Here is a 23,140-nt window from a genome sequence, read left to right on the forward strand (position 1 = left end):
GTCGAAGCTGCAGTGAACTATGAGCTATGATTCCACCACTGCATTCCAGCTTGGGTGACAGGGAAAAAAAGAGAGAGAAAGAGAAAACTGAAATAAGACATAAACCAATACAACATGGGCAATTCTTTTGTTTCCAGATTTCTTTCTCCCACTTTTATAATGATGGTAGGAGTTTATGAGGCCGTCTACTACAGGTCAGGACTCTTGAGTTCTGATGAGCTGTGTGACCTTGGGCAAGCTGCTTCCCCCACTGACCTGTTTTGTTTTAGTAACACGTGTTTCTGTTGTGTTTTCATACAGAAAAGTATAAAGAAACTAAAATTGGCCCTAGATCCCACAGCCCAGTAACCCTTATTGACATAAAAACAAAACAACAAAAAAAGTTTATAGTTATACAATTCAAGCAGAACAAAATGGGATTTTTCTTATAATATCACCCAGAAAAAAATATAAGCCTATTTCAACACAGATACCTACATCTCTATATACTTAACAATGTTTACACAGAAGTGATCATTTTCTTACAACTTACCTTTCTTCTTAGTAATTATTTTGGAGATCACTCCTTGTTGGCATACATAGACCCACCTTACTCTTGATCATCTCAGTTAGGAGGCAAATCTTGATTTATTTCGCTGTCTCCCAATGGCTCGCCCTGTGATTGTTTTTGTTTTGTGCAATTCACTATCAGCGCTCGTGAATTTCCTTGCTCATACTTCTCGGTGAGCTTTTCAAAGGTTATATCCAAAGAGTCAGTTCCTAGAGATTGCTAGGTCAAAGATTACACGCATTGCAATTTGGATAGAATTTGCCAGATAGTCTGAGATTATTTTTTATTTACCAAATACACTGGTTGAAATGTAATGAGGGCCTGTTGCACCTCTGTGATTTGGTCTGTGTGCAGCCCCCTGCCAGTGATGTTCACTCACACAGCCTGTCACTTTGTAACTGGGAGGCCGTGAGCCCAGGTGACAGATGCTGCAGGTATACCCAGCTCTCCCCAGCTCTAACGACTCCTCCTCTGGTCAGCAGGTTGATGGGAGTGCCTCAGTGGGGAGGGAGTTCATAGCAACCACTCCCTCCATCACCACGGAGACCATATCGACCACCATGGTAAGTTGAACCCAGGAGGCTTCCCTCTCTGACCAGCCCCCTGCCCCACCAAACAGCCAGAGAACAAGCTAACATCGCCTGGCTGCTTCAGGAAGTTGTGAGCTGCCCTCGCTGCATCAGGCATGGGACATAAGTCAGCTGTTTATTATCTGGGGCTTTAGTTGCCACAGGACATAGTCAGGCCTCAGTTTTCCAAAGTGAGTAATGTGGGCGATGGAATCCCCACTGATAGTGTCAGTTATCTAGGCCATCTCAGCCACAGCAGAGAGAGAGAGAGGATGGTCTTCTTTGGTTATTGGCACCCACGAATCTCATCTTGCATTGAGATTTCATTGGCTCATCTCACCTCCACTCTGAAGGTGAGGCTGGACCCATCCTGGTGGCTGCACATTGTCTCATGCCTTAGACCACTTCCTTGCCTTGGTCAGTAGATGGCGTGTGGTGACCCTAAGTTGGAACCAGGATTTTTGGGACCTCCCTATTGAGGGACCTCATGGTTCTGCTACTTATTTGCTGTCTGACCCATGAAGGAAGGCCCTTGGCCTGAGGTGTCCTCATCTGCAAAATGGCAATAATCCCCATTCTGCAGTTCTTAAGAGACCCCGGCAACACTAGATCCCTTCATGATTAAACAGAACAGATAGCATTTGGCACACAGGTTGTGGTTCCAGTCAATGTGCTGAGACTCCTGAGTGGATAATCTCCGTGGATGCTCACAGACACTGTGAGGTGGATGCTCTTCCCTCCACAACCTTTATAGATGAGGTAACTGAAGTTCAGAGAGGTAAAGCGACTTACCCAAGGTCACACAATCAATAAGTGGTAGTGCCAGGTTATCCCCAGGCCTTCTGACACCAGGAGCCCCACTTTCAACCCCAGCCACTCTGCTCTGCTTCCTTAATCCTGACCATTGTGAACATCAGCCGCATGGGGCTGGGGCTGCGGTTGCAGCCACTACTCGGGCTAGGGAAGGTAGCAGTGCTGGAGCCAGAGAAGTTGTTTTCAAATACTGTTTCTTGCCAACCTCCTGACATACACATAGGAAGGTAATTCCATCAATCTAGACTAGCCAGCAGGTAGGTTTTGAATACACAGAAATTTTAAAATCAATAAGTCCAAACTAGTTACCAGCTTGCACACCTTTCCCTGGTCACTCAGTTCCTCCTCTCCCCTCAGTCCTTCACCACGTGTCATTGGGATGCTTGTAGGGCTAAATTTAAATCCGTTCATATGGTGAGCAGGCACTTATACCATTCATTTACTCATCCATCCATCCATCTATTCATTCATTTGTTCCAAAAACATTTATTAGTCTGTACTATCTGCCTGGTATGGGGGATACAGTTGAAGAAACTATACTGCCTGCTGGAATTCATTCATTCAAATGACCATCATGAGCACCTTTAATGTGCTGTGACCCTGTATTTAGGTTCTGGGCATACAGCGGAGAACAAGGCCCAGCTGTCCCACTTCCTGGCTGGATGACCTTGGGCAAGTCACCCGAACCTCTCCAAACCTCAGTTTTCACTTCTGTAAAATGGGTGAGGGTAGAGGGCAGTAATAGCATGACCTCAAAGGGCTGATGTGAGGGGGAACGAAAGCAATCTGTGCAAAGCCCTGAGAACAGTGCCTGGCGCATAATAAGTGGCCTGAAGATGTGAGCTGCAGTTACTTCTTTCCTGCCTTCATGGGACAGTGTAATAATGCTATCCTAGGGGCCACCAGGAGGACAGCTATGGGGTGACAGCTCTGCCAGGAGGAGCCAGGAAAGGCTTTCCCTAGGCAGGGACATTTGAGTGAGCTATGCTTGAAGGATAAATTAAAGTATGGTCCTGGGGGAAGGCATTCTAGACAGTGGGAAAAGCAAGTGCAAAGGGCAGAAGGGAAGGAGTGCAGCATTTGGGGAAGGACCAGTGGTCAAGAAAGCCAGATGTCAAGCACACGGAGGAGGAGTCGGGGGGGAAGAGCTGGAAAGGAAGGCTAGGCCAGAGCTTGATAGACCTCAAATGTCATATACCAAGTTCAAACTTCTGTCCTGCAGACAATGGGGAATCACTTAAATTTTTTACATTAGGGACATGATGTCATCAGATATGTGTTTCTGTGTTTTAGAAAGATTATTCTAGCAACCTCTGTGGAGGAGGGACTTGAGCAAAAAATTCTTCCCTCCTTCTCTCTCTCTCCTTCCTTCCACAAATATTGATTGAACACCCATGATGTGTATAGTTCTGTACCAGCCACTGTGAATCCAGCTTGAAGAAGGGAACATCCCGGGGCTCTAGGGCCCACATGCCACTGGGAGAGACAGAGAGAGAAGGCAGGGAACCAGCTTAGATGCTGGTGCCCAGGCTGGGGTGGGGCTGGAGTGCAAGGAGGTGGATGCAGAGAAGGGGTCAGGGTTAAGGGATGCCTGGAGGGGGGAAAGCACAGGATTTGGTCGTTGGTAGGATGTTCAGGGGACAAGAGGAAAGATGAGCTCGTGACACCGTTCACTAGCCAATGGTTCTCAAAATGTGGTTCCAGGAACCTGTTAGCAAGGCAGGTCCTTTGGGCTCCTCCTTAGACCTATTGACTCGGAAACTCTAGGGTGGGGCCCAGCAGTGTGTGTTTTTCCAAGCCCTCCAGCTGATGCCTCTGAAGTTGGAGAACTGCTGATGTAAACAGAGTGATGGGGGAAAGTGCTCTTTAGTGACAAGCGTGTGTTGGAAGTGGAAGAAGCAGTGAATTCCTTTCGAGATCGGATGAGTCTGAGGTGCCTGTGGAACATTTCCAGGGCAAAATGTCTAGGACACAACTGGTTTTAAAGGCCTAGGGTCCAATAAATATCTGGGCTATAGGTGAAGGGATAGGGGACTTTGACCTCCATGAGGCAGCAGAAGCTGTTGAGTAGCCGAGGTGGCCCAGAGAGCGGGTGGCAAGTGAGGAGAGCCTGAATGTGGAGGAAGAGAGGGCTGAGTTTGCCTTGGTCAGGGAGAGGAACCACTCCTCCTGGAGGCAGGTGACGGGACTGGCCAAGGATACAGGAGAGGAAGGGAGGAGCAGAGGGTGCCTCGTTTTGAATGACTGATGTCCCTAGTGGTGGCCTCTGTTTTTAGTGTGAAGGTGGAGGTGAGGCTTTGCCCTGGGAAAGACAGAACAATGAGAGAATAAGAGGCTTTAAGGGAGAACTTCCCAGAATGATGCTAGGATTCATAGGGGTTAGTGGCTGTTAAGGGGAAAGGAAGCATTGAGCCCGGAAGCTGCCCTTGGGAAGCCTGCTGCTGGGCCACATTCTGGAACTGCAGGTGCATCTGGGAACGTGCCTTGTGGTGCAGTACCAAGGAACCAGGCTGCTGGCAGCCTCAGCAGGATGCAGGTGTGGGAGCGGCAGGGGAAAGTCAGCGAGTTTCTTTTCTCACCTGTCCCTTGGTAGGCAGAAGTCCAGATCTAGTGCCATGCCTGGACCAGAATCAGAGGTCAGGCCACTGAGGACCTGCAGAATGGACACAGTTCTGGGCCCCTGGACAGACAAGGCTGAGCCCTGAGATGGTGCAGAAAGTAGGAGGTAGAAGCAGGCAGCTGGGCCCTGGCGCCAGATCGGGGGCAGTAAGTCAGGGGACAATTCCAGGAAGATCTAGCAATTAGAATTTAAGGTAGGGCCAAGAGAGCTGTCTGAAGGGAAAGATTCCCAAGGGCAGAGTGGCGTGCACAGTGTGTTGGACTTGGAGTCAGACAACATGGAGTTAAGTTCCAGCTCTACCACTAACTTGCTGGGAGACTGAACTCTTAAGTTTCTCTTGCCCTCCAGTTTCTCATCTGTAAATCAGGAATATTAAAAATAATGCCCAACTGGTGTTATGAGAATTAAACGAGATGAGGCATGTAACATCCTTAAAATGATGCCTCGCACATAGCAAGCACTCAGAAAGTCATTATTATTATTATATTCTAAATAGCCAGCTTATGCCCCTATATTTATCCTATGTATTTTGGTTTGCAAAACCTTTTCTACTCCATTAGCTTCATAGGTTCTGTGTGGGATTGGGGCAAGGGTCCTTTTTTACAGATGAATCTGTGAGGCCCATAGAGAGGAAGTGGCTCTGCCCCAAGTCACATGGCTTGAAGGTGGCAGGGCAGGACACGAGCCTGAATCTGGCAACTCCTCTGCTAGTGCTTCCGGAGAACAATGCCATGTCTTGATCACTACAGTGTTCCTAACGCCAGACAGTCTGTAAATGTTTGTTGAATGAGCGAGTGTGCAAGTGTGCGAGTGAACAAATGTGTGCCTGAGTGAGCAAGGGATGAATGAGGCGGAACTGAACGATGCCTTCAGTCCTTTGCTTCTATTATTTCTACTCAACCTTGTGGTCGTGATAGCTACATGGCCACATGCTCCGCCCATCCTGGGGGCCCACCCGGCTGAGAGCTGGCCATCTGAGCACTATTGTTTCCCCAGGAGAACAGTCTCAAGTCCGGGAAGGGGGCAGCTGCCATGATCCCAGGCCCACAGACGGTGGCCACGGAAATCCGTTCTCTTTCTCCGGTAAGTGGGCAAGGCCAGCTCAGGCTAGGGGACTCCACACTGAGAATATGGGCATGGACCCATGTATGGCTGGCAGGAAGTGCAGCGTTGAGCCCAGAAGGCACCCTTCTAGGTGCAAAGCCAGGAAACTGGACCCTTTTCAGATGCCCACAGGGCTCCCTGGTGCCTGCTAGAATCTCATGAGTGGCCCTCCCCACCGCCCACACATGTAAGTGGGGCATTGGTGACATGTGAGGGTAAAGCGGCCCCTCACCTTGGTGGTGCTGCTGAGGGTTCTTTTGCATCTGCCCTCCCTACTAACCAGGAAGAGCAATGGACTAGGAGGCCAGAGGCTTGGATTCTGGACCTGCCTCTGTTGGTGCCTGCCCAGTGACCCTGAGTCTGTCACTGTAGGGTCTCTTTCAGCTCTTGCATTCTCCAAGTCTGTGGTTCTCATTGTTTAGCTCCGCAGAGAGCGTGCACCTGGCTATGACAGGATGGGGCATCAGGAGGGCTGTGTTTCCACCTTGGATCCTTTTGGTCATTCTTCCATGATGCCAGGATTCTTAAATTCTAGGGTATTGTTAGGATTCTGGGCCTCAGGAATCTTAGCGTCTAGGAATCTCAGACTCCAGGATTTGAGAATTTGATGGGTCTAGTTTTCTGAAGATTCTAGTATTCTTGAATTCTTAATGGCTGAAAGCATCTTGGCTTCGAAACGTCACCTTCACAGAGCCCTTTACCCCACCCCGCCCTCACCCCTCCAGAGCCCACTGTCCTTACCTGACACCCTGGGTGGGGGGTGGTTATATTCTGCAGATCATCGGGAAAGATGTCCTCACCAGCACCTACGGCGCCACTGCGGAAACCCTCTCAACCTCCACCACCACCCATGTCACCAAAGTGAGTAGCAGCAGGGCGCCCCATGCCCCCAGCCGAGCTGCAGGCGAGAAGGTCATGACTGTTGTTCTGCTTCGGCTTCGCCATCTGTAAAGTGGACAGAGAAAACCTGTAGTGTTTACCAGCTTCTGGAATACTGTGCGCTTTGTCCTGTGCCACATGTTGTTCTAGGCACGGGCCCTTCCCACACGGCGTTGACAGCCAGGCTAGGGGGAACAATACTCTCCTCTTTGAAGTAACTGTGAACCATGGCGTGTGCGCCTTGTAGATGGAAAGTGCTGGAGGAATCTAGACGGGGTGACATATGGGAGGCCCTGCAAGAGTCAGGAAGCATCTCCTGGAAGAAGTAGGGACTGAGTAGAGTCTTGGAAAGCCAGGCAGGACACCTGAGGGAGGAGAAGACAGATGCGGGTGTTCTAAGCAAAGCAGAAGAGGGAAGCAGAAATTGTGTGTTTGCTTATTTGTTTGTTCACTGAGCAGATGTTAGTGAGTGTCAACTTTGTGTTAGCCTCTGTGCCAGGGCTGCTGGATGTAGCAGTAAGTGAGGCCTGTTTATGGGACATGAGAAGCACATGTAGGGGGTGTAACTGGGAAATTAGGTTGCACTGGGGGCAGGGAGGTGGAATATAGAGCAAATAACAAATACCAGGACACATTTGACTCTGGAGGATCTGGGCCTCAGGGAGATTGGAAAGCCATGAAGGTTTTTAGATTGGAGAGTAACCCAGTGAACATAGGTTTAAGGAGAGAATATCAGGTCCACCAGGATGTGTAGATAGGTGGGAGAAAGAAGAGGGAGAAGTATGGAGAGAGACGGATAATAAATAACTCAGGCCTGGTGGGGAGGGCCTGGACCAGGGTGTGAGTTAGAGCTCAGGCAGCAAGAGGTAGGGGCAAAGGAGGGAAGCCTTCCTGGGTGACCCAGCAATAAGGACAAGGGCTAGTTGGGAGGCAGGCGGGCTGATGCGTCCACACCTATGTGGCCAGGAGGAAGGCAGGAGGGCGCCTAGCCAGGGCTGGAGGCCTGGAGCAGCCAGGTTGATGAGCCATCAGAGGAGAACTCTGGTCAGTTGCACTGGGCCTTCATGCACGGACTGTCCTGGCCTCTGCCTGCGCCTCTACAGGATTCAGCACTTTCTCACGTACCCCACAAAGAACCCACTCTCAGCAAAAGCATTACTGAGCAATGTTGACTTCTCTGAAAGCTTTATGGGAGGTTTTACATCCCACGCCCACAGCAGACAGCTCAGGAAACTCTTCTTCCCAAAGTCCCTGCCAACTGGGAGCCCCCTCTTCTTTCTATCCACTCCTGACTCCAGCTGGGATTCCCCACAGACACCACCCTGCTTTAACATGCCAAACAATTAGGTCCTGCCTCAGTTATTACTTCTAAACTTGTCCAAACCCCTTGCCTTCAGAAAACAGCGGAGGTCATAAGTATCATCAATCCAATTTTCTCTTGTAGTATTTTTTGAAGTTGCTTAAGGCAGAACCTTGTCACCATTCACATTTCATTCATGTGTTCATTCAACAAATCTGCATTCAGCACTGCCCTGGTTAGACTGGGTGAGGGAGTGGGGGAGGAGGGGATATAGAGATGAACAAAATACAGACCCTGCCTTCAAGAGCTGGCAGCCTGGTGAGGTGAACAAGGCCACAGACATACATAAGGTCGGCACCAGGCAGAGAGGTCCAGAACTGTGAGAGAGACAGATTCAGTGCTCAGGCAGTACCAAGGCAGGAAGACAGAAGCATTGCCAACCAGGGTCTGAGAGGCAGCATTGGAGCTAGGCTTGGAAGACCTAGATGGGATAGTTTGGTAGTTTTGGGGAGTGGTGGCAACCAGGCAAGATCTGCAGTTCAAAGTCCAAAATCAGAAAAGAAAAAATCTGAGGAAGTCAGGAGAGAAGGTAACTGCTGGTTCTCAGCCCTGCCCTCGAGAGATGATTTGGGTAGGTCCCCTCTTGAGGCTGCTGCCCCAACAGGACCCAAGAGTGACCTCACCTCCCTCTCCCTCTGCAGACTGTGAAAGGAGGGTTTTCTGAGACAAGGATCGAGAAGCGAATCATCATTACTGGGGATGAAGATGTCGATCAAGACCAGGTATGGGGGTAGCAACCGTTCTTCCCAGTGCCACTGCCCAGTCCTCAATCCCTCCTATGTTGGGTTACCCATGGATGGCTATCCTCATGGGCAGAGAAGGTGTCCACTTCTTGCTGACCCTGTTCAGATAAGAAACCCCCAAGAGAGGGGCATTGGATGGGAGCCAGAAGGAGCCAGAAGACCTGAGCTCTAGTCTCTCCCTTTAGTTGTTTGACTTTGCCCCTCTCTGGGCCTCAGTTTTTCCAGCTGTGCACTAGAGGGCTTGCTGTTCTTCACAGTCTCTCTCGTCTTGGATAGTTCATGGTTCCTTCCTTTGCTGTTCTTTACCACCAGGCCCTGGCTTTGGCCATCAAGGAGGCCAAACTGCAGCATCCTGATATGCTGGTAACCAAAGCTGTCGTATACAGAGAAACAGACCCATCCCCAGAGGAGAGGGACAAGAAGCCACAGGTAAGGCTCCTGAGGCCCAGCAACCATGAGAGAGAGGAGGGAGCAGTAGCAAGATCCTCTGAGGGCCATTTCCATCTGAGAAGCCAGTGGCTTGACCCCTAGTGCAGCTTTGACCCTCCCCCCATCAGCCTTCCTGATTTGCTGCTCAAAGGAGAGAGGCACCTCCCCGAGATACAAGTCGGTGGGGAGAAGAAGGAAGACTGGTTCCTTGGTTTCTTTGGGGTTTCAGGCTCCAGATCCAGAAAAATAAATCCAGAAGTGGTTAAAAATTTTTTTAAAGGGAGGGAAATGGAGAGAGGATTGACAGTGGATATTGAGGTGGGACAGATGGAGGTCCTCATTATCTCCTTGGGCATTGTCTATAAACCGGAAGTCAGAAAAAGTCCTACTAGGCCCAGTGCCACGTTCCTGGCCCTGAGTCTCTCTCTCTATCACAAGTCACTGAATGTTGTTAAGGGGCCATGATGACCAGAGCCCTTGATCCCTTTTGTCTTGCTTGATTGCAATTTTTATATTTTTTGAGATGGAGTCTTGCTCTGTCACCCAGGCTGGAGTGCAGTGGTACAATCTTGACTCACTGCAACCTCTGGCTCCTGGGTTTAAGTGATTCTCTTGCCTCAGCCTCCCGAGCAGCTGGGACCACAGGCGCCCGCCACTGCGCCCAGCTAATATTTTGTATTTTTAGTAAAGACGTGGTTTCACCGTGTTAGCCAGGATAGTCTCGATCCCCTGACCTCGGGTGATCTGCCCGCCTTGGCCTCCCAAAGTGCTGGGATTACAGGCGTGAGCCACCGCACCCAGCCTAATTTTTATATTTTCAGTAGAGACGGGGTTTTACCTTGTTGGCCAGGCTGGTATCAAACTCCTGTCCTCAAGTGATCTGCCTGCCTCAGCCTCCCAAAGTGCTGGGATTACAGGCATGAGCCACCATGCCTGGCATGATTGCATTTTGACTTCTGAGACCTGCAGGAGCCAAAATCTTAGGGACTCTAATATTCTCTTGTTTCACTGTGGGCCATCAATGCTTTGGTGAATAAGAGAAATAAGATGATGTTGGGGCAGATAGGGCTTTTAAGCAACCTAAATTAGGGGAGGGGTTCTTCTGGGCCCTCTGGAAATTTACCAGATCTTATCAGATCTTAAAGCAAAATCCCATAGACATTGAGTTGGATAAAATAAGCCAGGCACAGAAAGTATAAACTGTATGATTCCATTCGTAGGGAGTCCAAAAGCAAGCAAAACTAATCGACAAGGTTGAAAATCAGAATATTCCTGATTTTCTATCTGAGAAAAAAATTCTTCTGATTTTTCTGTTACTTCTGGGATGCAGTATTCACAAGGAAGAGGGAAGGGCCAGAAAGGAACCTTCTAGGGTACTGGAAATGTCACTATTTTCAACTGGGTGGGTTACATGGGTATATACATATAAACACATTTATAAAATTATTCTCCCACTTAGAGTTGTGTACTTCACACATTTCATGGGCTCTACCACAATGAAAAAAAATCCATCTCAAAGACCCCACAAATATAATTGCTGGTCTCCTTTTTGCCCTTTTCCTTGAATGAATGAAACCAGTCTTTTCTAGAAAGATACGAGAATGTTTCTCTTCCTTTGATTACCAGACCCCTTAATGTCAGAAGAAAAAGCACTGAAACATTTTCCTGCTGCTCTGAAAGGCTGCTAACCTCTGGTCTGGACTAGGGCTGTTCAGCAGAACTTTCTGCAGTGATGGAAGTGTTCTTTCTGTGCTGTCTGGGATGGTAGTCACTAGCCGCATGTGGCTATTGAGGACTTGAAATTGGCTAGTCTAAAAAGAAATGTGCTTTAAGGGTGAAATACATGCAGGATTTTGAAAATTTAATATAAAAAAAGTAAATAATCTCAATAATTTTTACATTGGTTACATATTTAAATGATAAGGGATACATCAGGTTAGGTAAAATGTACTATTAAAATTAACTTCATCTGGCCAGGCACGGTGGCTTATGCCTGTAATCTCAGCACTTTAGGAGGCCAAAGCAAGTGGATCACCTGAGGTCAGGAGTTTGAGATCAGCCTGACCAACGTGGTGAAACCCTGTCTCTACTAAAATACAAAATTAGGAGTGGGGGTTGGTGGGTGCCTGTAGTCCCAGCTACTAGGGAGGCTGAGGCAGGAGATTTGCCTTAACCTAGGAGGCGGAGGTTGCAGTGAGCTGAGATGGCACTATTGCACTTCAGCCTGGGCAACAGAGCGAGACTCCGTCTCAAAAATAAAATAAAATTAAATTAATTTCACCTGTTTCTTTTTAAACTTTTTAATGGAAACTAAAATTGAGAAATTTAATTGTGAAATTAAAATTTTCTATTTATCTAGAAATTTTTAGAAAAATAGAAATATATAGAAAATTTAGGAAGTGTTATCTAGAAAATCTATTATCTAGGAAAAAAATTTTTTTTTTTGAGACGGAGTCTCACTCTGTCACCCAGGCTGGAGTGCAGTGGCACGATCTTGGCTTACTCCAGCCTCCACCTCCCGGATTCAAGTGATTCTCGTGCCTCAGCCTCCCAAGTAGCTGAGACTACAGGCGTGTGCTACCACACCCAACTAATTTTTGTATTTTTAGTAGAGACGGGGTTTCACCATATTTGCCATGCTGGCCTCAAACTCCTGACCTCAAGTGATCTGCCCGACTCGGCCTCCCAAAGTGCTAGGATTACAGGTGTGAGCCACTGCACCTGGACCTATCTAGGAAAATTTTAAATTGCATATGTAGTTCACATTCTATTTCTATTGGACAGCACTGGTCTAGAAGTGTAGGTTGGCCATGGGCGGAGCCTACCTCCCAGGCTTCCTCAGACCTTCATACAAGTGATTGTCATTCCTATCCCCTCAGTTTTTCAATCATTCTTCCTTTATTCCTCCCAAATCTCAGAGTGGTAGAGTGTAGGCCACTTGCTGAGCTGGGTGTATCACCTGGGGAAGCCTGTTTAAAATACAGGCACTGGAGAACCCTCTCCATAAAGTCTGATTTAGAAAGACTGGACTGGGACCTGGGACCTGTATTGCCTGGGAATCTTCATTTCTGCCTTGGTCCTTAGGGAGTCCGCGTGCAGCCAGGTATAGTAGCATTGATGCAAAGAACTCTGTATTGGGAATCCAGGGACCTGGCTCTAAAGCTGTTCCACTGACTGGTGTGTGACCGTAGGTCCGTTTCTTCCCGCTTGAGGACTCGGTTTCCTCACTTGCAAAATGAAGAGGTGGAGCGAGCCCCCTTCCAATTACAGTCCTCTGGCTATTTGCTTTCCTGGGGTATCTGTTGTGCTTTTCTCATCTCTTCTCCATTCCCTCTCTCACGCCTCCTCATCTTTCCCAGGGCATTCAGAACCAGGCCCCCAGGCTCCCGCCTTCCCATTTCCCTAGCCATTCAGAGCCCTCATCCTGGCCTCCACATCCTGCCCACCCCGCCGCGATGCAGTCTTTCACATCTGCCCACCTCACTGCTCCCTTTGCTGTCTCATTCCCTCCTCCTCGCCTCTCTTTAGTTCTTTCTTTGCTGCCATTGCCCCACGCACCACCATGCCCCATCTCTCTCTCTTCTGGGTTGTTCTGTAAAGGTCACCTTGTTTATGTTGCCCTGGCAAGCCAGAAGTTTCTCTCCCTTGCCTTTTCTGCCCACATGCTTTACCAGTAATTATGGTCAAGTAGAACCCAAGTCTGACTCTTAATACAGTCAGACTCACTAATTCTAGAAGAGGTCTCCTCTGAATTCAAAAACTCCTTTTTAAAGTGCTTGGAAACATTGGCTTAATGGATGGATGCCTCTTGGTACCCCAAGGAAGAGCTCTGTACTCCTGCAGAGTCTCAAGCCCTGCCCTTTATTAGCTGTGTGACCTTTTAGCAAATCATTTAAACTTTTCAGCCTATGATTCCTCGTCAGCCAAATGGCAATGATCATCACAGTAATAACAATCGCTATAATTTATGGAAAGCTTACCCTGTGCCAGGCACCAGGCTGTGCACTCAACACAAGTACTGTTACCTGCTCATTCATTTTACAAATGAGGAAACTGAGGGTCAGAGATGTTAAGTGGCTTGCTCACAGTCATGAAGCTGTGAACATGATGGATTGATTAGAGAGTGAAACCCAATCTGTTAGACTCCAAAACCCAATGGTCTTGACCTTTTCACCACACCCACTTTTCATAACGTCTGTCTCCTAGGGCTACCAAGATCATCCATGCAGCATGGTAGTTAGCACACTGCCTACCACATCGCGAGTGCTTAATAAAAGCTCATTATGACTACTATTACCATTAACTTGAAATAGGCTAACAAAATGCTGCACGCAGGGACTGTGCTGTGCTGTAATAAACCAAGAAGAATAAATCATAACACTGTATTGTTTAGATGTCTTTGGTACTTCTGAAGTGTCTATGGGCTTACGAAGACATCCCACATACCCAGAATAATGATTACACTGACTTATAGGACAGCCACTTCATTAATTGATGCACAAACTTAAAGTGCAGCCTGTTACTGTAAGGAAAAACCAAACCAAACCAAACCAAAACCAATGCCCAGTTAGGATGTAGTAATTTTGCTACTGAGTAATATTCTTTGAGTAGTATTCTTTCTACTCAATTTTGACCAGGGGCCAGGCACAGTGGCTCACACTTGTAATCCCAGCACTTTGGGAGGCTGAAGCAGGAGGATTACTTGAGCCCAGGGGTTCAAGACCAGCCTGGCCATCATAATGAGACCTTCGTTTCTATAAAAAATGTAAAAGATTAACTGGGTGTGGTGGCTGGCACCTGTAGTCCCAGCTACTTGGGAAGTTGAAGCGGGAGGATTGCTTGAGTCCAGGAGGTCCAGGCTGCAATGAGCTATGATCGCGCCACTGCACTCCAGCCTGGCAATAGAGCAAGACCCTGTAAAAAACAAAAAACAAAAAACGAAACGAAGGAAGGAAGGAATAGATGGATACAACTAGGTTTTGGAGCTAGAAACACCTTGGTAGCTGTGTGCCCAGAGGAACCTCTCTGACCTCAGTTTCCTCATCTGCAAAATGTCATTAATGTATACATTGGAGTTGCTGTAATAACTAAACAACACCTGTGATATACTGGATCTGTGTCTTGCCTACAGAAGGGGCTCAGCAAGGTGAACCTGCTTCCTTGTCCCTCTGAGGTTTTTCCATGTTTAGAGGTTGATGAGAGTACTGAGAAAGTCAGATCGTAATTCTCCACCACCAGCCTGGTGCCTGAGGCCCTGTCTCCATGAGGGTGTTTGTCTTACTGGTCTTCATCTTCTGTTCCTTCTGCAAATCCTCCAGAAACATCTGTCCCTGCTTCAGTTAACTCTGTCTTCCTTCTTAAAGTTCTTCCTTCTTGAAGTTCTTGCTATGAGCGTGGAAAGTCACTCATGTCACACAGAACCTTTTCCCTTCTCTCCCTGCAACCTTGCAGGTCAGACGTCTGGTTTCTGCTCCATCTTCTCCCACTGGCCCACCTCCTTCAGAGAGGACCTGTCTCCCAAACACCACCAGCAAGAGGGCAGCACTTGCCTAGCTTCCTAACCTTCCAAAATTTAATGGGAAAAAATTGACCTGTTCCAAAACAGGAACCTTGGGTTTTAGTCTTGGTTTTGCCAACTTACTAAGCCTGAAGCCTCTGGGCCTCGGTTTTCCTATGTGTCAAATGAGCCAAGAAAGATCCATTTTCTGTGATTCCGTTAGCACTCGACTGCATGCAAGTAGCAGAAATGATGTTTCATCCATTAAATGGTTTTGAGTAGTTGCTATGTGCCAGGCACAGTGTTGAACACTGGAAAGACAAGAGTTAAAAGATAGCCCTTACCCTCAAGGAGATCAGAGTAGTGTGTGGTTAAATTAACAACAGCAACAATCATCATAATAAGAACAGCCAGTATTTATTCAGCACTTACTATATGCTGGGCCCTTGCTTCAGTTCCTCCCTATAATGGGAGGCAGAACCTATTTTACGGAGGAAGCAATTGAGGCTTAAAGAAGTTAAGAAACTTGCCAGGCACTGTGGCGTGCACCTGTAATCCCAGCTACTTGGGAGGCTGAGGCAGAAGGATCACTTGCAGCCAGGAATTCAAGGCTGTAATGTGCATTGATTGTGCCTGTGAATAGCTATTGCACTCCAGCCTGAGCAACATAGTAAGACTCGTCTGTTAAAAACTGTTTAAAGTAAAGGAAGTTAAGAAACTCACCCAAGATTACAGAGCTAGCAGGCCCATAGAGTGGGATTTGAACTCAGGGAGTCTGATTTCAGAGCCTGCTCCTTTAAACACTGAGTTTTGGAGCCAAACCTGGAATCCAGACTTCATTTCTTTATTTAAACACTGCTGTCTGTGGTTTAATCTCCAGGACACAGCAAGCCCACGGACAACAGAAAGGAAAACCAAATGAAAAAAGAACATCTGCAATCGTGACTAAACATTTCTTAGAGCTGACAAGATAGGAAGAAAAAGTAAAATGATGATGATCTTAGCTTCTCGGTGTTAAAGGACATTTTAACACATTGTCAGGCCAAAGTAAAAGATTACCACCTCCCTGGAAACAAGCGAGCAAACACACATGGGCTCTGGAATCCAACAGATGTGGGTTCGGTTCTCTGCTGCCACACACAAGCTGCGTGGCCTTGGAGTGCAATAGCTACTCACAGGCATGATGATTACACATTACAGCCTTGAGTTTCTCACCTCAAGAGATCCTTCCACCTCAGCCTCCCAAGTAGCTGGGATTACAGGTGCAAGTCACTCTACCTTGCTGAGTCACAATAAAGGGCATATGGTAAAGGGTAGCAAAAACAACCTCTTGCCATGTATTTTAAAACAAGTGACAGAAGTTACTAATTTTTCTTGTCCTCTTCCTTCCTTTCCCCCCACTCCCCACCCCCCATTCTACCCCATGCCTCTGGCTTCCAGGAATCCTGACCTCTGTGAAGAGATCCTGGCATTTCTGGTCCAACCCAAGCCAGAGAACCATTAAGAAGGGGCCTTCATTCTGGATTCTCCGACGCAACACTGACGTCCCAGCTGCGACGTACTGTCACTGATGAGAGACTGGGAAGGGAAAAGCATATATATATAGATATATAGAGATATAGATATATATACAGGAAACACCGCATCCTTGCACTGCTGCTGGGGCTGGCAGAGCAGTTGGCTGACAGCAACAACCGACATCTGAACACCTACATTTCCTTTGCAGACAAATTGAAGAACTGGTGGGATTTTTTTCAAGAAAAAAAATTATATAATAACTATAATCCCTTGCTCACCCCTTTCCCCCGCCAAATAAGAAACGCAAGCCAGACCACGATGATTGTAGAAGTCCCTCCCGCCCTGGTTCTGCACGTTACAGTTAGCAGACGAGCAATTCCATTTGTTCTTCTCCAGCATCTCTAAGGCCCACTTGAATGCAAAGGAAAACACTTGCACAGCAAAGCAAGAGAAGTCACAGCAGCAAGACACGCACAGTCAACCATTTTCCGAGAAAAAAAGAAAATTCCCCACTTGGAAAGAAAGAGGAGGAACACTGGATTCTTACTTTCTGGATCTTGACACTGGGCTGCAAAACCTACCTTCCTCTCTCCCGCCTCCCCTCACCCTCAACTCTCAATGTCTTGCTGTCATTTTCTGTCTCGGCTCCCTCCTCCCCCTTCCCCCTTCCCCCACCCCACACCCTTCACCCTCTGTGTCCTGGTCCTTCTGAGGGCCACTGCAGATGACTCTCCTTTGAAATGAGAAAAAGAAAAGAAAGCAAGAACAGAAAACGAAGCCACAGGAAGGGAAGTAGACATTGTATGCTTATGGTTTCTCATTATGAAGGTGCAGCTTGTAGGAGGTTTGTACGGATGTGCTTTGAAGTTATGTATATTACATATAACAGGAAAAAATATTAAAATAAACAGTGCTGGTAAGTATGAAGCTGACATTCTAAAATTATAATTATCTGACTGTGATTGATGTATCCTGAGGTTCCTAGATCTCACTGAACTGGCCCAGCTAAGGAGACCTGGACTCTGGGTGTGGGTTGGCTCACAGTAGGGGCTGACGGGTTCAGTGTAGTAATACTGTGTGTGGTGTTTGTAATTGGTTGATTGGTGGGGAGGGGTGGGGGGCCCTAATGGAGAGGTGTGGGTTTGGCAAGAAAGAAGCAACACAGATGTCGTCCCCAAAATGCCAGTTCAAGACACCTTCTCCCTGCCCCCCTGGTAGTAACAGTCAGGGCCTGGTCTGTGCTCAGGTACTGGGTCCCAGTCTGGGACTCTGCTGCTGAAGTTGCCACAGTAGAGGTCCCTGGCTTAGTCCTTATCTCCCTACGGGGCTTGCCTTGGTTTTCAGTCTTCTCTCTCTTTCTCTCTTTTTTTTTTTTTTGCCACATTCTGCCCTTCCCTGACCCCATTGTAATAACCAACTCCATATCCAAAGGGAGGTGGTGCTCTCAGCCATTGTAGAAGATGGTGGCTTTAACCTGACTGTCTAAAAATTCCCAGCTAAGCCTTTTCCTCTACTCTCTTCCTTGTTCTGAATCATTTCTTCTTCTCAGGCCAAAGTAGCCATGGTAAGGAGGCTTCATGGGGCAGACCCTGAAAGATCAAAACTGCATTTGCAAAGCCCTCCCCTGTCCCAGGACAAAGCTGAGACTGACGGGTGATGTTGCTCATAGGCTCCAGCTCTGCATAAGACCTTGGCTTGGAGACCTCCCTCTCAGTCAACAGCTGAACTCTGAGCTTGTGCCCAGAAATTACCCCAAGACCACAGGAACCCTTCAAGAAGCTCCCATCACAAGCTTGGCATTGCTCTCTGCCACACGTGGGCTTCCTCAGGCTTGTCTGCCACAAGCTACTTCTCTGAGCTCAGAAAGTGCCCCTTGATGAGGGAAAATGTCCCACTGCACTGCGAATTTCTCAGTTCCATTTTACCTCCCAGTCCTCCTTCTAAACCAGTTAATAAATTCATTCCACAAGTATTTACTGATTACCTGCTTGTGCCAGGGACTATTCTCAGGCTGAAGAAGGTGGGAGGGGAGGGCGGAACCTGAGGAGCCACCTGAGCCAGCTTTATATTTCAACCATGGCTGGCCCATCTGAGAGCATCTCCCCACTCTCGCCAACCTATCGGGGCATAGCCCAGGGATGCCCCCAGGCGGCCCAGGTTAGATGCGTCCCTTTGGCTTGTCAGTGATGACATACACCTTAGCTGCTTAGCTGGTGCTGGCCTGAGGCAGGGCAGGAAATCAGAATAGCATTTGCTTCTCTGGGCAAATGGGAAGTTCAGCGGGGCAGCAGAATCAGTGGCATTCCCCCTGGTGCAGGCCGGTGGGTCCACTCCAACTCCCCCTGAGTGTAGCAGCACACTTTCCATACACCAGGTTCTTTCTACAATCCTGGTGGAAAAGCCACAGAACCTTCTTCCTGCCCTTCTTGAGAGTTCCCCCTCTTTCTGGGTCAAGAGCTGGAGTGGTGGCTCCATCCTCTCTGGGCCACTTCGGTCTAGGAACTCATCTTTGCAGGAACCAGGAGTCCTGAGCACACTGAACACACCTCAGAGGGAGGATCCTTGTTGTGGATTTTGCACCTGGCTTTGGGGCAGGGGTGAAGTGACCAGGCTTAGCTTGTGGAGTTTATGGGCCACCAGGGTTTGGGGAAATCACCATCCCGCGGATGCTGTGACCTCCCTTCTACGGAGATGCAGGCAGTGCCACGAGGGAGGAGGGGACCTGCAAAGCTAGAATCTAGGGCACTGTTTCCTCCCCATCCTTCTCTTTGTAGAGAATAGAGACGTTTGTCTTGTCTGTCTTCAACCTACTTTTCCTTTTCTCTTTTTTGTTTCTCATCCTCTCTGTGCCACCTCTCCACCCAGGAGGCCATGTAGCATAGTGGAAAAAGTCCCTGAGGGCGGTTAGGAGTTCTGGGTGACCATCCTGGCTCAGCTCCTAACTCACCATGTGACATCAGGCTATCCCCATTCCCCCTCTTGGGCCTCAGTTTCCCGACTTGCAAAATAAGCAGAAAGAACCAGATGCTCTCCAGGGTCTTTTTCTACTTTGCTATCTCATGGGTCTTCATTTTCTCTTATTTTGTTTTCTCTGGATCTTTTCCATCTGAGGGTACAGGAAGTACCAGGACCTGTTTCAGTTTTTGAATCCTGCAAGCACATTCCAAGACTGGCCTGAAACTGCATGAGCAACATCACTCGAAATAATTTTTTTTTTCAAAAGCACCTTAACAACCAATTGCGATGCTGTCCTGTTCCTTTTTACTCACACCCTTCTCTCCTTTCTCGTCCCCATGCTCCCCCACCTCAGTGCTCCGTGCTGTATGCGTGTGCTCTCTGTTCTTGTATACTCAATATAAGTGAAATAAATGTGTTTGATGCTGAACCATACTTCCTTGGCACCTCTCCTCTCTCTCTCTCTCTCTCTCTCTCTCTCTCTCTCTCTCACTGTCTCTCTCTGACTTTGGCCACTGGTACAAGTTGGCACTGTGGGAGGGGCTAAAACTGAAGTGGAGACATCCCAACTTAGAACATGTTTATGCAACAAATATTTGGAACTCAAGGTGGTCCAGGCCTTGGGTGACTCTCCAGGCACAACACAAACAAGACAAAAGTCCCTGCCCTTCATGAACCCACAGGCTAGTGGAGGAAACAGATGCCAACACAGGCAAACAGTCCGTTACAGAGCACTCAGCACTAGGAAGGAAATACACCGGGAGAAGGGAAGGAGGGTCACTGAAGGAGACCACTTTAAATACAGTGGCCAGGTAAGGCCTCCCTGAGGAGGCGATCTGTGAGCTGAATGAAAAGAAGGATCAATCAACAAAGGCGAGGAACTTTGGTGCACATTCTAGGAGAGGGAACAGTAAGCATACAGGCCCCAGGACGTGGAGGGGCTTATTGAGCGGAGAAACAGCATGGTCCCTCCTCCTGAAAGAAGAGTACCTACATTGGAGTCTCTCTTCCTGTAACCCCCCTACATGGGAGCCTAGTGGGAAAAAATACAGCAATCCTCAACTTCGGCCTTTGCCCAGAACCTCTATATATGTTCCCATATCCTCATACCACCTGTCCCATTATTCACTTATTTTTCTTTAAATTGACTCAGGTCAAGTGCAGTGGCTCACGCCTGTAATCCCAGCACTTTGAGAGGCTGAGGCAGGCAGATTACCTGAGGTCAGGAGTTCAAGACCAGCCTGGCCCACATAGTGAAATCCCATCTCTACTAAAAATACAAAAAATTAGCCGGGTGTGGTGGTGCACACCTGTAATCCCAGCTACTCGGGAGGCTGAGGCGGGAGAATCGCTTGAACCCAGGAGGCGGAGGTTGCAGTGAGCCGAGATCGTGCTACTGCACTCCAGCCTGGGTGACAGAGAGAGACTCCGTCTCAAAAAAATAATAAAATAAAATAACTAACTAAATAAATTGACTCACGTTAAAAGCAAATGCATTTAAAAAGGAAACTATATTACTTCCACAAATGAAAAGCTTATGTTATTTGCCAAGAAAGGAGGTCTTCATAAAATAAATGCAAAAATATTAAAATTAACAACCACAATGCACTTAAAACCTAAACTCATCCCTTGGACCACCTGAGGTGCACACACCACACTTTCCTTTTATTCCACCAAGCAACTCACCTCAGCCCACCTTTATTGCTGCAAATCTCACCAGCGAGTCTTTTCCATGTGTATGTATTTTTCCAGAGTTGGTCATCTTGTACATACTTTTGTAAATACTTTAAAATATATATATGTACATATATGTATATATATGTACATATATATCTATATACACGTATATATATCCTGAGCATTTCCGTATACTTTCAAATACTAAATACTTATTTTCTTTGGAAAGGTAATTCATTAAATGATACAAAGACTATGCAGTGAAAAGTGATTCTTCAGCCTTCTCCAGATTTCTGTCTCTTGTCAGAGGCAATTGCTGCGAGGAACATTATGAATCCTTCTCTGAATTTTCCCTATAGGTCTCCTTTAGCAATCTGTTATCCCTAGGGTTCTGGAATAGGACTTGGTTTACAAACAATGGGTCTTCATATGATTCCTCAGGACCCCATACACCCTGATCCATATTTCTGTCTCCCATAAAGGACCATCCTGACTCGGCTTTTGTCGAATAATCAAAGGTAAGTTCACCCAGATTAGTGTTTTTCAACTGCATTGAGAGTGGGGAAATGACCCCTCCTCCTTTACCCCCAACCCCCGCCCCGGGGACATTTAGCAATGGTTGTCACAACTGAGGGGTGCTACTAGCTCTAGTGGGTAGACGCCAGGGTTGCTGCTAAACATCCTACAATGCACAGGACAGCCACATACAACAAATACTTATCTGGCCCCAAATGTCAATAGTGCCAAGGTTGAGAAATTCTGATCTAAATGGACATGTGACCCACAAGGTGGGACTCCTAGGCCACCATTTACAGCTTCTACAACCAGTGTTCAGTGTCCTGGAGTCTCTGAAAAGACGGTGAGCCCAACTGAAACAGGGAGCTTTGAGACCAGACCATAGAGCTCAGCACTTAAGACTGGGAGTGGGGAGGGGTGGAGAGGGAGCTGAGCTTCTTCATGCAGGAGATGAAACTTGACAGGACAGGCTGAGATTGGTAAGCATGACTGTGACTGATGGAGGCTGTCTCTGGTTAATCCTGCAGCAGCTCATTGTGATTAACCATGACTGCAGGGCCCGGTCTAGTCTGCAACCCACTAAGAGATAAATTTTGACCGAGACAGATTGGCGTGTCCAGCTGTCACTGAGGAAATGTGACAGACAAGCTAAGGAGCAGCAGCACAAGAGATAAGAACAGACAGCCCTTGGTTTGCATTCTAGCTCTGCCATTCTCTGGCTGTGTAACATCTCTTTGAACCTCAGTTTTCTCTTCTGCAAATTGGGAATACACATACCTTACAAGGGTTAGTGCAAGGATTATAAATACCCAAGTGGGCCGGGCACGGTGGCTCATGCCTGTAATCCCAGCACTTTGAGAGGCCAAGGTGGGCAGATCACCTGAGGTCAGGAGTTCGAAACCAGCCTGGCCAACAAGATGAAACCCCGTCTCTACTAAAAATACAAAAATTAGCCAGGCACGGTGGTGGGCGCCTGTAATCCCAGCTACTTGGGAGGCTGAGGCAGGAGAATGGCTTGAACCCAGGAGGTGGAGGTTGCAGTGAGCCGAGATAGCGCCATTGCACTCCAGCCTGGGTGACAGAGTGAGATTGCGTCTCAAAAAAAGAAATACCCAAGTGGCCTGCCCTAAAATCACATAAGCCAATTCTTGGCAATAAATCACTTAATATAGATCTCCTACTGGCTCTGTATCTTTGGTGGAACCCTGATTAATAGTGCAGGGTTAGACCCACAAATAGTTATTTATTAATACCAAATTATCATCATTATTAATTAAATGCATAATATATGTACTCAGCTGAGCTTTTGTGCCTGGCTTTGTGCTCGGTTCCAGGGAAACAGTGAGGAACAAGACAGGCAGATTCCTTCCCTAGTGCGTTGATAGCCTGACTGAGATGTTAGGACTTGGCCTGCAGGAAGGACACGGGGTGATAATGGCCAGAGGGACTGAGGTGGCGACCGCTGCTGCTGCAGCAGCGGAGGCTGACGCTGGTTCTCTCTGGGCTGGTGGCTGGGTTTCTGAGGCTCTCCCCGAGGGCTGAGTGTGACTGGAAGCTGAGACACTGTGACCGGGATAGAGACTGGCTGACAAAGACAGTGACCGAGCGCCTGACTGGCTACTTCTGAATAGTAGCCACTGGTACAAGCCTTGGCTGTGCTTTAGTGACCATGACTGCTTGAGCCCAAAGTAAGATGGCTGGTGGCTGTGTTTCTGGACGGGGATATAAAATGCATAGGTTAATGAAAGTTGTTCACAATTCAGAAGCTAAAACGAGAAACTAAGAATAACAAAAGGCAACCTTGCATCCGGCGGAACCTGCAGGCACGGGCCATTCTTCCCGCGACCCAGGGCTCTGCCGGACCGCTTCCCCCGTCGCTCCAGTCAGACGCCAAAGCTGGAGAACTTCCG

The 23,140-nt window shown here is 47.8% G+C and overlaps 1 protein-coding gene and 1 long non-coding RNA gene across 55 annotated transcripts in view; one reads left to right on the top strand and one right to left on the bottom strand.

The window, feature by feature from the left end:
- EPB41L1 (erythrocyte membrane protein band 4.1 like 1) overlaps positions 1-19,472 on the top strand; it is a 141,386-nt gene extending 121,914 nt beyond the window's left edge. For 17 of the 54 annotated variants that reach the window (NM_001258330.1, XM_047439972.1, NM_001424407.1 and 14 more), the window contains 6 exons: positions 1,030-1,113; positions 5,549-5,635; positions 6,434-6,517; positions 8,537-8,617; positions 8,951-9,067; positions 16,005-19,472. In NM_001258330.1, the coding sequence (NP_001245259.1) occupies positions 1,030-1,113; positions 5,549-5,635; positions 6,434-6,517; positions 8,537-8,617; positions 8,951-9,067; positions 16,005-16,013 (462 nt within the window). In that variant the 3' untranslated portion in view covers positions 16,014-19,472. The remainder of the gene's footprint in view (positions 1-1,029; positions 1,114-5,548; positions 5,636-6,433; positions 6,518-8,536; positions 8,618-8,950; positions 9,068-16,004) is intronic. The other 37 variants (NM_001258331.2, XM_047439985.1, NM_177996.2 and 34 more) reach the window with 4 other exon arrangements.
- LOC105372602 (uncharacterized) lies at positions 10-23,139 on the bottom strand. The gene is made up of 3 exons (XR_936695.2): positions 23,031-23,139; positions 6,398-6,601; positions 10-49 (listed from the first exon to the last, which is right to left on the bottom strand). It is a non-coding gene; the product is annotated as an uncharacterized LOC105372602 (long non-coding RNA).
- Position 23,140: the final 1 nt, after the last annotated feature.

Source organism: Homo sapiens, chromosome 20 (genome assembly GCF_000001405.40).
Source record: "Homo sapiens chromosome 20, GRCh38.p14 Primary Assembly".
Lineage (NCBI taxonomy): Eukaryota > Metazoa > Chordata > Mammalia > Primates > Hominidae > Homo > Homo sapiens.